General features: G+C 40.7%; 1 protein-coding gene across 9 annotated transcripts in view; it reads left to right on the top strand.

The window, feature by feature from the left end:
• BLNK (B cell linker) overlaps positions 1 to 15,474 on the top strand; it is an 82,399-nt gene that overhangs the window by 16,012 nt on the left and 50,913 nt on the right. For 8 of the 9 annotated variants that reach the window (NR_047680.2, NR_047682.2, NR_047683.2 and 5 more), the window contains exons 2-3: positions 8,509 to 8,574; positions 12,774 to 12,823. Coding sequence is in view for 5 of the 9 variants with exons in the window: in NM_001258442.2 (NP_001245371.1) it covers positions 8,509 to 8,574; positions 12,774 to 12,823 (116 nt within the window). In the remaining 4 variants the exon portion in view is untranslated. Of the gene's footprint in view, positions 1 to 8,508; positions 8,575 to 12,773; positions 12,829 to 15,474 lie in introns of all 9 variants that reach the window. The other variant, NR_047681.2, reaches the window with a different exon arrangement.

Below are 15,474 nucleotides of genomic sequence, written 5' to 3'. Positions count from 1 at the left end.
GGGATTTTCTCTGATTAGCAATACTTTGCATTCCACCCTTTCTGAAAGACAAATGAAAAAAAAAAAATCCTGAAACCTGCCTATCATTGTCCTCTGTGACAGCACTAAAGAGCTACAAGGAAAACAAGATGTTTTATGATCTTATTTCTACTAAACTTTTTAAAAAAGTACTTCTTACAGATAATATCATCTGTTAAATCATCTCCTGTATTTAATAAAAATTATTGGAAAAGTGTTTTTGTCAAATATGTAATTTCTTGGACACCTCTGGTGATCTGGCCGAAATATCTGCATGCAGCTGCCCTCCCCGTGCCCTCTTGGCCCTGGAAGAGCTCGCTGTCCTTAAACTCCATCCTTCCTGAACTTGTTTATCCTTCTATGTGCCTGGGGCTGTTCTCAGTCTGCAGATACCCTTCTGTGGATTCTCACTATGGATTCCTCTCCTTGTGCTCTCTTGGCCAGACGAACTTCCCTGGGGTATGTACAAAGTTCTCCTATCCTGAGAACACTGTCAGTGGTTCTTAACCTTGGCTGCACATTGGATCCCCTGAGAGTCAATGACTCTGGTTTAAATGGTCGGGGGCAAGGCCTGGGTGTCAAGATTATTAAAAGTCCCCTAAGTGATTCTAATGTGCAGCCAAAGTCAAGACGATTTCTTTAACCTACCTTTTCATCCAAGAAGGAGATGTAGAAAGACTGCCAATTGATGTAAGGTCTAAACTTCAATTCATAAAAGACTCATTGAAGGGCCAGGTGTGGTGGCTCATGCCTGTAATCCCAGCAATTTGGGAGGCCGAGGTGGGCGGATTACCTGAGGTCAGAAGTTCGAGACCAGCCTGGCCAACATGGTGAAACCCCGTCTCTACTAAAAATACAAAAGTTAGCCAGGCGTGGTGGCAGGCGCCTGTAATCCCAGCTACTCGGGAGGCTGAGGTAGGAGAATCACTTGAACCTGGGAGGCGGAGGTTGCAGTGAGCTGAGATCGTGCTATTGCACTCCAGCCTGGGGGACAAGAGCGAGACTTCATCTCAAAAAAACAAAACAAAACAAAAAAAAAACTCATTGAAGAAGGCTGAGCTGTACACAGTCAGCTCCTCGGGTTAGAGTCCCTGCTCTGACACCAGGCTGCCTGGGAAGAGAAGGCAGGCAGGCTGGAAGCATCACTGTGCCCGACTTGTATTAATCTGAGTCCAGGTAAAGGTGAATGCCTGGCCATTGGCAACCACAGCCGATTCCTTCTGCTGTCTTCCCCTTGTTGAAAGCAGACATCATACCATTGACTAAAATTCCATTGCCAGTGTCTTTCCTTTCCTGGGGAGAATGCCTGGGTAAGCCTTTGGCCACTCATTATGGAGAAAATAGTAAGATTTGCTGTTAAAGCTATTCCAGGCTATGGTGGATGGGGGAAGATACTCTGGAGGTTGGGAAGTCGTCTCTTTTGCTCTTTCCATTTAAACTTAGCCTAGAAGGGGATAAACCTGGCCTAATCCTTTTTTTTTTCCTTTTTTTTATTTTTTTAATTTTTTTTATTTTTTTTGAGACAGAGTCTTGCTCTGTCGCCCAGGCTGGAGTGCAGTGGCACGATCTCGGCTCACTGCAAGCTCCACCTCCTGGGTCCATGCCATTCTCCTGTCTCAGCCTCCCGAGTAGCTGGGACTACAGGCGCCCGCCACCATGCCCGGCTAATTTTTTTTTTTTGTATTTTTAGTAGAGATGGGGTTTCACCGTGTTAGCCAAGATGGTCTCGATCTCCTGACCTCATGATCGGCCCGCCTTGGCCTCCCAAAGTGCTGGGATTACAGGCGTGAGCCATCGCACCCAGCCTGGCCTAATCCTTTAAAAATGGCTGTCAACCTTCTGTGTGCATAAGAGTCACCAGGCCTAGAAAATTTGTTAAAAAGCAGATTGCTGGGCTCTATCTGGAATTTTTATTCTATTGATATGGTTTAGGGTCCAGTGATCTGAATTTCTAATAAATAAATACAGGCAATCTTTAGACCTTACTCTAGAAAACACTGTTTCAGAGGGTGATCTGGAAGAGAGGCTGGGTTTGAAGAAACAAGAGGGAACCTGAGATTGTCCCCTCCCTCTCTGCCCCTGAGGTCCAAGCCTCTTGATCCCAGGCTCCCAGAAGCAAGGCATTCGGCACTTATTCTCACACAGCCTTTGCTTCTCCTGGTCTCAGATTGCCATGTGGTCTGGTCATCTCTCTGCTCCCTCAAGCTGAGGGGTCCTGATTCACTGCTTCTTGTCACGCCTACTTGGATCAGAGTTTCAGCTATTTAAAAGCCCCTCAGATAGCAGAGGAAAGAAAGATGCAGATAAAGCCTAAGGATGGTGCTCACTTATGAAAATATTCACAATATAGTAAGTGGAACACACAGATTTCAAAATGTCAAGAGTGATCTTAGTTGTGTAAAATCTGTACATCTTATGCATGGGTAGTAAAAATTGGAAGGCTATTCAATGGGAATCCTTCTAGAAGATTCCTCTATTCAACCTGCAGCACAGGGACCAACAACCAGGAGGCCCCGGGAAGACAGGAAACATCACAGTACCAAGCCTGAGGCCTGCCTGCCACATCCTCATTTTCTTACATCCTTTTTCTAGGTTGGAGTCTTTGCAGGATGAGTGACAGCAAAGACAGCCTATCCCCCACCAACAGGGATGAGGTCGAGTCTTAGTGCCACCGCCACTGCATTCTGTTAGTCACTTAGAGCACCATATTATAATAGCAATGGCAAAATGGTCCCGACCATGGCACTCTGCTCCAAGAAGGGCCAGTCCCTTTTCCATTGTCACGCAAGGAGAGGGGCATGTTCTGCCTGCAGTCACTTCATCTCCATTCTACAGTTTTGCAAACTGTGGCTCAAGAAGAAAGTACATGACTATAAAATAAATTAAAATATATAAGCAGAGGTTAGTCTGAATTCATACAGAGAAAAGTCAACAGTCCTGCAAAGAAGCTACAGACTGAAAAGCGCACACCCAAATTATGCTTCCAATTGACCACCCAATTTATTTGTCTGAAACTTTGCACTTGAGTTAATGAGAACTTAGTTTTTCCCCCAAACAGGTATTTGCTTTACTTGGGCACAACTAAAAGGCCCACAATAGAAAAAGGCATGATCTATCATAGACATGCACAAAGGATGGTCTCCCAACTGGTAGCATCAGCACCACCTGGGAATTTGTTAGAAATGCAGGAGCTGGGCATGGTGGCTCATGCCTGTAATCCCAGCACTTTGGGAGCCCGGGGCAGGCAGATCACGAGGTCAGGAGTTCAAGACCAGCCTGGCCAACATAATGAAACCCTGTCTCTACTAAAAATACAAAAAATTAGCCCGGCATGGTGGCAGGTGCCTGTATTCTCAGCTACTCGGGAGGCTGAGGCAGGAGAATCGCTTGAATCTGGGAGGCAGAGGTTGCAGTGAGCCGAGATCACGCCATTGCACCCCAGCCTGGGCAACAAGAGTGAGACTCCGTCTCAAAATAATAATAATAATAAAAATAAAAACATAAATGCAGATTTTCTGACGCACCACAGACAACCCAATGAGAATCTCCAGGGGTGAGGCCCAGCCAGTTGTGGTCCAATAGCCCTCTTGAGATCTATCGGATTCTAAAGTAAGGCACTTTAAAGGGAAGAAACTGCTGTAACTTTCAAATGGTGACTTTTCTACTCTCAGTGCTTCCTGGAATTTAAATCTCTCGAGATTCAGACTTACCCAGGGTCACACTACTACAGTGTGACTAAGTTACGTGTCTTAATTCAAAAGCTTGAAAATTAAAAACAAAAGAGAGAATATAAAATTTGATTTGGTTTACACAAGTATTATAATTATTTATATGACCTGCTCACCATTTTTAAATACCAAAATGCCATACTGCTTAAAATTACAATACTTATATATTTTAAAACATGTATTAGATAAGCTTTGTTCTTCATTTTATTTTGTTACATGAGCATGGCTCTCTCTCTATGACTTTAGAAGATTAGGACATTGTGACCTTATTATCCATCTCCCCACCATGGAAGGATATCTCTGAATGAGATAATCAAAGTGAAGCTGTTTTATGCCTTACCTATCTTTACCTACACACAACTCATCTCAGTAAAAGGATTGCTGTTTGAATCCAGAACAACCCCTCCTGGAACAGACCAGTTGTGCATTCTTTTGCTATGGCATGTGCTATAAGTTGTAATAAGGAGCAAAAAGCACTTCAAAATGAAATGGCCAATACTAGAGAGCAGCAGAGCTGTGCATCACCAGATGCGTGGACAGTTGACATAATGAGCTAACAGCATCACAGCAAATCTTGGTTTTGGGTCACTATGTCTTCCCAGATCACAGAAGTTTGGCAGTTGTAACAAAGCAGTCTATAGACATCAGAATTTGTGTGAACGAGATACAGAGAGAGAAGAAAACTTTAAAATATAAAAAGTGTAATTTATCTAGGGTGACTATAGTTAACTATAATTTATTGTATATTTCAAAATAGCTAGACGAAAAGATTTGGAATGTGTTCAGCACAAAGAAATGATAAATGTTTGAGGTGAGGTGATGGGTTTCCCAATTACCCTTATTTGATCATTACACATTGTTTGCATGTATCAAAATATCACATGCATCCATAAATATCTACTGCTATTATGCATCAACTTTAAAAAGTATAGTTTATGCAACACTTCAGTAACTTACTGTAATTATATAGTTACATAGTATAATTGTTATTGTTATAATAATACACAATAAAAAGTAATTAGGAAATGCCAAGAAGCACCAAATGCCAAATTGAGCAAATGACAAAATTGCATCCAATTCTTTTGCAACATTTTGCATCTGTTTATTTACATCCACAGCAAAATCACTTATGCAAATTGGCCCCTGGTTCCCTATTACTCTGCCTGTGTCCCATTTTTGACACATTTCTGATAGGATTCTTCACTGCTGCCTCATTTTGCTCCTCAACCTGGTTAAGCATTAACTTAGCCTAAAGATACTCCATTCAGTTACAGTCAGCTTACAACGAGCTGCCCTCTGCCCTCCATATGAAATTATTGAATTTCCTTGCAATCAATCCACTTCAACCTCTCTCTCTCTCTCTCTTTCTCTCTTCCTCTCTCTCTCTCTCTCTCTCCCCCTCTCTCTCTGTCTGTCTCTCAATCTCTCTCCCCACTGCCAGACCCCTTATTTTCATTTTCTTCTTTCCTCTATCTCGAAGATTCTCTATAGTTCCTCAGGAAAAGGAGAAAAGGGTTTGGCATAGAGTATATGTGAACAAATTCTAGAAAACTGTAGAGTTCTGAGGCAACTCAAGGGCCCATCTGAGGGACCCTCTGTGTGTCTCTCAACCATCCTTTTCTCTTTGCTACTGAGCCCATAATATGTGCCTGGCTCTTTCCTGAGCTCTTACACTTGTATCATCAGTGTGCCCGGCCTCCCTAGCTAGGGAGTATAAAATATGGTCTCATTTCCTTTGTTACCCAAATTACAATGACTTGGCACCAGACCCCTGACACATACATTTGAACGTGGGTCCCTCAGTGGGTACCTCACTTACGTAGATAATTCTCCAAAATGCAGCCATACGGCTGTCCCAAAAGAAGTTTCTCCTATCCTTCTACTTCACACTCCAGCCTGTCCTCCCTCCACCCTTCCATGCCAGTGGAACACTCTCTTCCCCAAGGCCCAGCTGAGGCCGGGCTGCAGCTACTACAAGATCTTACTGAAGATTCAGGGACAGCAGAGAGGGATTATGTGGTTGAAAATAGCTAGCGATGGCTCTGGCTATGGCTTTTCTCAGAGCAGAGGCCCAGACCCAGCCTCAGATTCAGGGCTACCACCCCCTGCCATCGCCCAAACCCCCACCACTGAAAATCCCTCAGGTTTGTCTGCGCTCTTCAGCACTCTAGCGCCTAACAGCCATTAGCCCTAGAAGGAGAGAGATCTCCCCAAAATCTGCAGCCTAAGTTCCCATTTTACGTTTGAGCAATCTCCCTTTTCCCAATTCCCTATCCTGTAAATTTCACTCCACTCCCTAAGGGCTAGAGGGCCTGCCCTCAATAGAGCAGACCCAGCAGAGCACCAGCATGGCTGCATTGTTTAGCTTTAAATTAACACTTGGTAGAGGACACCCACAGGCCTGCCCAGGCAGAGTTCTTCTGAGAAGCTGTCCTCTTACCCTCTAAACTGCTCCACTGCTGCACCAAAAAGTAACCCTTCCACCGCACGGGCATTCTAAATTCACAAAGGGCCAAGGAGTATTTCTCCCAGATGTCCTCAACCAACAGTTTCCTAGACCTATGCTAAACTATTTCTATTACCTAACCCAAGGCCTAGCTCCCAGAGTCAGAGAAATCTGCTTTCAGGATTGTGGGGAAATCACCATTTCCTACAAGAACAATAGCTGTGTACAGTTCATTATCTAAAGGGTCCAGTCAAATAGTTTTCTCAGAACAAAGGAAGCATTTACCTGAAAGGTGAATTAAAACGTCCTACTCTTTCAGGGAAGAACCACGTGAAATTTTATTATACATTTTTTAAGTCAGAAAATTATTATGAGGAAAACATAACATGGCCCTATCCTCCCATTATAATATTTTTCTCCATATTTGTGTATAACACAGATAATACAAATGATATCTACACATGCTATAAAAATTCAAATATTTTAAAACATCATAAAGTAATAATCCCCTTTTTAGAAAGTAGAAGTTTCAGGCAACAATATAGATGTATATTCCTCTTTTTTTTAGGGGTCTGTGGCATTCCATTGCATGGATCTATCATAATTTATTTAACTAGTTCCCTTTTAATGATTAATGAGCATTGGGTTGTTTTCAGAGTTATGGTTGTGGGGAGGGCAGAAGAAGCAGGGAGAAGATTAGAGAGTTCTTACACATCACGCTGCAATAAACATGCTTATATGTATATACTGATATCATTTTGTGACCATTTTCATAAGACAAATTCTTAGCAGTCCAATTGCTGGGTCAAAAGTCATGGACGTTTTAAATCTTGACAGATTTGATTGTAACAATTTACTTTCTCAACACTGGATATTATCACACTTGTTATGTTTTGCCAGTCTGATAGGCGAAAAGACATCTCACTGTTGTTTAGATTTAGATTTGTTTAAATATAAGTGATGTTCAATATCTTTTCATTGGTCTATTGACCACTTGTATTTGTTTTCTGTTAGCTGTGTGTTCATATCTTTTGCTCATTTTTCTATTGAACTATTTCTCTTTTTCTTACTGAGTTGTAAGATTTCTTTGTAAATCGAGAAAGGCTGGTGCAAAAATAATCGTAGTTTTTGCCATTACTTCCAGTGGCAAAAACCGTGATTACTTTTGCAGCAAACTAATATGTAGTTCTTATTATTATTACTATATGTTGCAAATATTTCTTTCAGCATGTCATTTATCTTTTGATTTTGTACATATTCTTACCAGTGGAGGGTCTTGATACATATTGTTACCAGTGGAGGGTCTTGACTATGAGTCTTCCAGGTTCTTGGCCTTTTGAACACAGAATTGGACAAAATGCACAAAGTAACAGAAGAATGAAACAATGAAAGCATAGATTTACTGAAATGAAAGTACACTCCACAGAGTAGGAATGGGCTTGACCAAGTGGCTCAAGAGCACTGGTTACAGAATTTTCCTTCTAGGGGTTTCCCATTGGTTACTTGGTTACATCCTATGTAAATGAAGGAGTGGCCCACGACCAGTCTGATTGGTTGCAGAAGGTGATCAATCAGACGCTGAAGTTAAGGTACAAAGTTACACAGGAAGACTTGGCCTGGGACCAGTCTGATTGGTTACAGGAGGGGATCAATCAGAGGCACTTTCCATTTCTCATCTATAACGCAGTGCAAAGGTAGTAGCCTCTGATCCTTTTGTTACTTGTGCATGGAGAGGTGGGGTTTTCCATTTGATTCAGTTCTAGGAAGTCAGTGCAAATTGGCCTTAGGTTCCCTGACTCCAGACCCTATTCTCCTGCCTCAATATTACTTTTTGTTCTACAGAAGTTTCAAATATCAGCCAGATTTAATAGTCATTTTCTTTATGACTCCTAGGTAGGAGTAACTTTTAAATGGAAGTTTTAATAGATGCTACCTACTACCATTTAATAAAAAAGAACCTTGGGCCTGATTGAAGCCTCTGCTATGTCCACAGAGTAGCATCTATCTTCGTAACGTAGATGCTCTAAGACAATGAGCAAGGAATCAGAATATCTTTCTTCACAGCCTGAGACTGGTCCAGACATCCCAACGGAAGGGGACACAGCCCAGTGACCATATTCCTTATAGAATCAGTCATGCTTCTCCTTCGCTAAAGTAGCAGATGGTCAATTTAATTAAATACAATATAATTCATCCTATTTGGAGGTTGTTTTGGTAGAGTTTTTTCCCCTTTTTTGTATTCGAGAAGAGTAGGAGACTTTTTTTAAAAAGTCAGACTGGTTATTAATATCTTATGTTTAATTTTGTTTTTTACAGGCAGCTTCAAAAGATGGTCCATGATATTAAAAACAATGAAGGTGGAATAATGAATAAAATCAAAAAGTAAGTTCGCCTCTATTTAAATACTTAATTATATAAAATAAGTCAACATGTGCTACATGGAAGAAAACAAATTTCTCTGTTACCTGGATGAGAAGTTTCTACCTCTTTAGCACGTAACCCTTCTTTACTATTGGCTGGAATCCATGGTGGCCAGGTCTACATTCTGGAACAGGACAAGTGAGTGCAGTTGTACTCAGTGGACTTTGATTTTCCTTCTCACTGCAGGGAAGGTGAGCTATGCCCATTCAAGGTGCCTAACAAATGTCAAAGCAGGAAAATCATTTCTATAACCATTTAGCTAAGGGCTATGAAAACATGTATGGAGAAATCCAAATGAAAAGTTACAAAACACAGCCCTAGCTTCTTCAAGATGCCATGTGAGTTTTCCTTTTTTTGGGGTTTTGTTTTTGATTTTGTTTTTTTGTTTTTTTGAGATGGAGTTTCGCTCTTGTTGCCCAGGCTGGAGTGCAATGGCACAATATCAGCTCACCGCAACCTCTGCCTCCTGGGTTCAAGCGATTCTCCTGCCTCGGCCCAGCGAATAGCTGGGATTACAGGCACGTGCCAGCATACCTGGCTAATTTTGTATTTTTAGTAGAGACAGGGTTTCTTCATGTTGGTCAGGCTGGTCTTGAACTCCTGACCTCAGGTGATCCGCCCGCCTCAGCCTCCCAAAGTGCTGGGATTACAGACAAGAGCCACTGCGCTCAGCCAGTTTTCCATATTTTGATTTCTGCTTTTCGAATTATTACCTGAAAATGAACTTTTCAATTGGCACTTGGAGAGGGAAAGCCTAGCATCTCAAAACTCCTTGTACATCAAAAACTCTTAAGCTTTTTTTTTTAAAGAGAATAAAAATTGTACATATCTGCATTTGCCACTCAAAATCTAAGGTAGACGTACCTTAGTAGGTCTTATATACCTTAGTAGGTAAGTCTCTTTCAAGAGAAAATGGGAAATGGTATTCTGTTAAGTCTTTAAATTTTTTAAATAAAACTAATACAGATTCACCAGGGAAAAAAAATCAAAGAGGCCAGAATTGTATGATGTCAAAATCTCCCATTTCCTTATATCTCCATCTTAACCCACTCCCCAGAAAGGGACATTGTCATGGTAAGTTCAATGTGTGTATATATATGTATGTATGTGTGTATAAGTATGTATATATGTATGTATGTGTGTGCTTAAACACATACATACATACACTGACATTGTACATACTATACACATACATTTTCGTCATAAATGGTATCATAGTGCATGCGCCATTCTACCAACTTGCTTTGTTGGTTTTACTTAAGCTATTTCATGGACATCTTTATTTGTTAGTAAGTAAAAATTAACCATATTCTTTTCTGAACAGATGATTTAATAGTCTACCTTAAATATATTATAATTCAATTAACTAGCTATATATTGGTGGCCATCTTTAAGGGGGGATTTGAATTTAAACCGGTACAACATTTTTGGATAGCAATTTGATAATAGCAATCAAAATTCTCTGGTTGTTTCTTCCAATTTAAATGTCATGAATAATACTTTAATAAATGTTCATTGCAGACCTTGAATATACCAGTAGGCTAAATTCCTAAAATGAAATTTCCAAATGGAAGAAGTTGTGCCCTTAAAGTTTTAATTGCTATTACCAAATTTTTCTCCCCAAATTTTGGACCAAAAAATAGTTTATAGAAGTTCATTTCTCTATGCATTCAAAAGAGCATCCTTATTCGTTTTAATCTATGCTAAAATTAAAAATAAGAAATCACTTTTGGTGGTATTTCCAGACTATGAAATGTAAATGAGTCTCTATGCATAAGTGATCATCATCAAACATAAATGGCCTTCTGCTTGTGAGGTGGTGGTCATCTTACAGAGGAGGAGAATTTGGCTTCATGTTCTGTCTGATGAGTGGGAGAGGTGTGTGATGATTTTTGCTTATTATTTCTGCTACAGATAGAATCTCATTCTTTATGAGACAGTCCTTGTTACAATCACTAGCAATTCTAATTGCCAGTTTTACAGTTCACCAGTTCTCAATAACATGAAGCCTCTGCATAAAATGTTTCTCTATTCCATGGCCCCCAGTTGCCAGTTTTACAATACACCAGTTCTCAATAACATGAAGCCTCTGCATAAAATGTCTCTCTATTCCATAGCCAGTCATATTTACAGCAGCTGTGGAGCTCAAGTTTTTTATAACAGCCTCTGTTTCATACATTCTGCCCATTGGATGACCAAAGCACTTTTACATGACAAACCATGTTTCTTCTCAGCCTGGAAATTATGGCCACCATAGTCATTACCCCGGGTGACGTCAGGGGCCCTTTAGCTCAAAGTGACTTGCAGTTACACTTTTACTTGAAGCCAGGCCACAGGTGCTACCCTGAACGGAGGAAGCACGCTTGAACACGCTGGTTCCCTAACACAAGACTGTGACAGAGTTTTCACTGGTCTATGGCCGCATGAGAAAATAAGGAGCATGAAGTGTTGGGGGTTGTGCACAGCAGCCAGCTACAGAGCAAAGTTCAACTACGCCTTTTATTCCTAGTGTTGAGTGGCCAACAGTCCTTTAGTGAGTTTTTCCTTTATTCTGAGATTATTTGGGGGTAGTAAAATACCCTTCCTTTTCTTTTATGAAATGATAGTAATAATGGATAACAGGTGGTTTGTGCTTTTGGAAATTTTACTATTCCTTGAACCAACCTGGGCACCAGACCCAGTTTTGTTTTTGTTTTTCTTCCTTGCAACACCTTGGATGATCTCTGTCTCTATACCTCATCATGGGACTAATGATAGTATCTTCCCAGCCCACCCTGCTGGCTTGTGAGGAGAATTGAATGAAATAATAGATATTGAGAGCCTATGAGAAAAAGAAAACCAGAATTTCTATGTAAATATACATATTGTTATTTTTGCAAATTACAATTTTGGTTTGTAAATTGTTTTTGTGTGCATTTTTTAATCAAACACAAATTTCTATGCTTTTTTTTTCAAAACATGAAAGTTTGTATATAATAGCAGTTATACTGCTTCTATAGAAGGATATGATATTTTAGTAAATAAAGGCTACTGGATATAAGTTTTATTTATGTATATTTTAAATTTCATTAAGCAAATAATTCTTAGTTAAAATGGGTAATAATTATTAAAAATAATTGACTATAAACCTTACTCATTTCAAGTAGTGGAAAGGGAGGTATCAGAACTTACAAAACTTGGAATAGTTTTCTAAAATGTAATTTCAATTTTCTTCTTTTATTGAATGAAGAAGGATTGTGACTAGCACATTTCATATGTGCATAAAGGTACTAAAGCACCTTTACTTTAGTAAAGTTTTGAGAGTGCTTAAAACAAGTTGAATACTAAATATGCTAAGTCTCATAATCTCCAATCCTGAGACACTCACTGTTCACTTGTTCGGCTTTTTTTCCTTTTTAAAGACAGTGTCTCGCTCTGTCGCCCAAGCTGGAGTACAGGGGCGTGATCATGGCTCACTGCAGCTTTGACCTCTGGGGCCCAAGTGATCCTCCCACCTTAGCCCCTCAAGTAGCTGGGACCACAGGTGCATGCCACCATGGCTGGCTCATTTTGTTTATTTTTTTGTAGAGATGGAGTCTCACTATGTTACCCAGGCTGGTTTTGAACTCCTAGGCACAAGTGATCCTCCTGCCTTGGCCTCCCAAAGTGCTGGGATTACAGAAATGAGCCAGTGTGTCTGGCTTATTTGCGTTTTTAAAATGGTGCAAACATAATTTTAGCCCAACCTACAACCAAAACGCTTATTGTAGCTGATTTTTTCCTGTTAAACATTTGTAAGTCATTAAAATATAGTCCATCTTATCTTACCTTCTTATCAACACTTACCTTACCAACCAATCAACATTTATCTTCCTTGAACCTCTGAACTCAGTGCTTATTACTATCATATTCTGACCTCTCTGAGCCCTTCTCCACCTGACTTCACCTTTGCCAAGTCATAGCCACATTGTGCATGCACTGGGGAGATGGGGAGAGGTGGAAAACCCCTGACTAATGGCTTCACTACATTTACAATACATCAAATCTGTCCATTGATTGGTCCAAGAGAAGCCATTATGCTATTAGTTGTCTATCTATTCTGTCTATATCAGCTTCTAGCATCGGCTTTGACCATCATTGTTCTGCTCACTGACCTTTTGTCTCATGGTTGTTATTTCCAGGCTAAAAGTCAAAGCACCTCCAAGTGTTCCTCGAAGGGACTACGCTTCAGGTAAGGTATTTCTCAGATACTTTAACTGACTCTTGACTAATTTAATGTTCATATTTACATTTAGGCTTATGGAAAGGGAAATACGCTATCCTCATTTGAAAACAAAAGGTATCTTTTCTAATTTCAAGAATGACTAAATCTATTAGGCATTTTGACTACAGTGGAGATGTAGTTTTTTTATCCATCCATCCACCCACCTATTTATTGGTCACTTATTAAACATCTTCCATGTGCCAGGCACACACAGATCTGAGGCAGGAATACAGTGCTAAAAGTTAAAGATAGACTATACATTTGAGGAATTTATAGTCCAGAAGGGAAGATAGATTATTGTATTAGTCTGTTTTCACACTGCTGATAAAGATATACCTGAGACTGGGTAATTTATAAAGAAAAAGAGGTTTAATGGACTCACAGTTCCACATGGCTGGGGGGACCTCACAATCATAGTGGAAGGCAAAAGGCATGTCTTACATGGCGGCAGGCAAGGTAGAATGCGAGCCAAGAGAAAGGGGAAACCCTGGATAAAATCATCAGATTTTGTGAGACTTATTCACTGCCACCAGAACGGTACGGGGGAAACTGCACTCATGATTCAATTATCTCCTACAAGGTCCCTCCCACAGCATGTGGGAATTATGGGAGCTACAATGCAAGATGAGATTTGGGGGGGTACACAGAAAAACCATATCAATTATGTTAAAAGTAATTATAGGCCCAGGTGCAGTGGCTCACACCTGCAATCCTAGCATTTTGGGAGGCTGAGGAAGGCAGATTGCTTGAGCCCAGGAGTTTGAGATCAGCCTGGGCAACATGGCAAAACCCTGTCTCTACAAAAAATGCAAATTATCCAGGTGTGGTGGCATGCACCTGTAGTCCCAGCTACTCAGGAGGCTGAGGTGGGAGGATCACTGAGGTCAAGGCTGCAGTGAGATGTGATCATGCTACTGCAATCCAGCCAGGGCAACAGAGTGAGACCCTGTCTCAAAAAAAAAAAAAAGAAAGAAAAGAAAAGTAATTACAATTCAGTGATAGGGGAAGCACAAAGTTGGGTGGAATTCCACAGCAGCACTAATGAATCTAATCTGTGGCTGGGAGTGTGGGGTAAGTGGGGAAGAGACTACTTCCTCCATCAAAAGCTGTTTAAATTGATATTTGAGGATTGTTGAAGGGGTGGGGGTAATAAATTATTGCTGGCACATTGCTGACTCTCAGTCCTCTCCAAGTTTAGCCTGCAACCTCATTCCAACTAGGATCAACTTTGGCAGGAAAGAAGGGTTAGTTTTGAGATTTGTAGTGTTTCTGGCAGTGGTGAGCCAAGTGAAATATTCAATACACATTTCTTTATTAGAACAAATACGTTGGAAGATAGTTTTAAAATCTCTTTCTATAGCATTAATTATAAAGATTTCCTGAATATCCCTCAGTGAAAACCACAGAGCTACAGACATCATTGATGATTCTCAACAGGGCAACAGCCTAAAACCAAACCATAACCTTAAATGATGCTTACTATTTTATTTTATTTTTTCGGCCACTGATCAAGATAGCAATAAGTCAGATAGTGCAGTTCCTCCTAAGGGAATCTTATCACACTGAGAAATGCTGACCAACCTGCCCAAGTCTGGTTACAGGCCTGTTGGACCACTCACTAATTCACAGAGTAGTTATTGGCATCACCCTGCCAATCAGTCAGCAAGTTTAGACAGTTGGTCAGGGGATGCCAGTACAGTCTGGCACTAAAAGAGGGACCCTGTTCTGGGCTTTAATATCTACCTAATCAATAAGTCAAGGAAGCTTCCTAGTTATATGAGAACAAACACATTCTTCCTTCCAAGTTCTAAATAAAGAAAAGAAACCAAAGCAGACTCAACCTGTTAAAGAACTAAATAAGTTTGATGGACAAATTATAAAATCATGGAGTCTTGGGTTTAAAAGGAACCCCAGAGGTCGTGTAGACCAATATCTGATCCAGGGCTTAACCCCTATCCCACCACCATTCACCTCCACACACAAGGCCCAGCTTCTGCTTGGACACTTTCTGTGATGGTTTCCCATGGTCTAGCAAGGGACAGGCAGCCCTGGCTGGATATAGATACAATCAATTTCCTTGTGACTTCCTATGTCTATCCTGATGGCCACACAGTTCAAGCCTTTAAATATGAAGAAAAGTAGAGCCAGGCACAGGGGCTCACACCTGTTATCCCAGCACTTTGGGAGGCCAAGATGGGAGGATTGCTTGAGGCCAGGAGTTTAAGACCAGCTTGGTCAATATAGCGAGATCCCATCTCTTAAAATATAAGAAAAAAATATTAAGAAAAATAAAAATAGAGTTGTCCTGTGCAACTTCAAAGGAGAGAATTAAGAAGTTAGGCCATCTGAGTGGTTTCTTCTCTGGGATAAACATCTCCAGGTGCTTCAGCTGTTTCGCACATTTTCTGATTCATTCAACACGTGTTTCATGAGTGTGTCCTGTGTGACTGTCACTGTGCTAGATCTGGAGTGGGGAACAACATACAACCCCTGACCTTACAGTGCTGAATGACTAGTGGGGAGTCAGATAAGAAACAAGAAAGCAAACAGGTAAATATAAATTAGCAAACATGGTACCTGCTGTGAGGGAAGATGGAAGAGTGCAATGGTGGGGAATC

The sequence above is a fragment of the Homo sapiens genome, chromosome 10 (genome assembly GCF_000001405.40).
Source record: "Homo sapiens chromosome 10, GRCh38.p14 Primary Assembly".
Taxonomy (NCBI): domain Eukaryota; kingdom Metazoa; phylum Chordata; class Mammalia; order Primates; family Hominidae; genus Homo; species Homo sapiens.
This window is presented reverse-complemented; position numbering and strand designations above follow the sequence as displayed.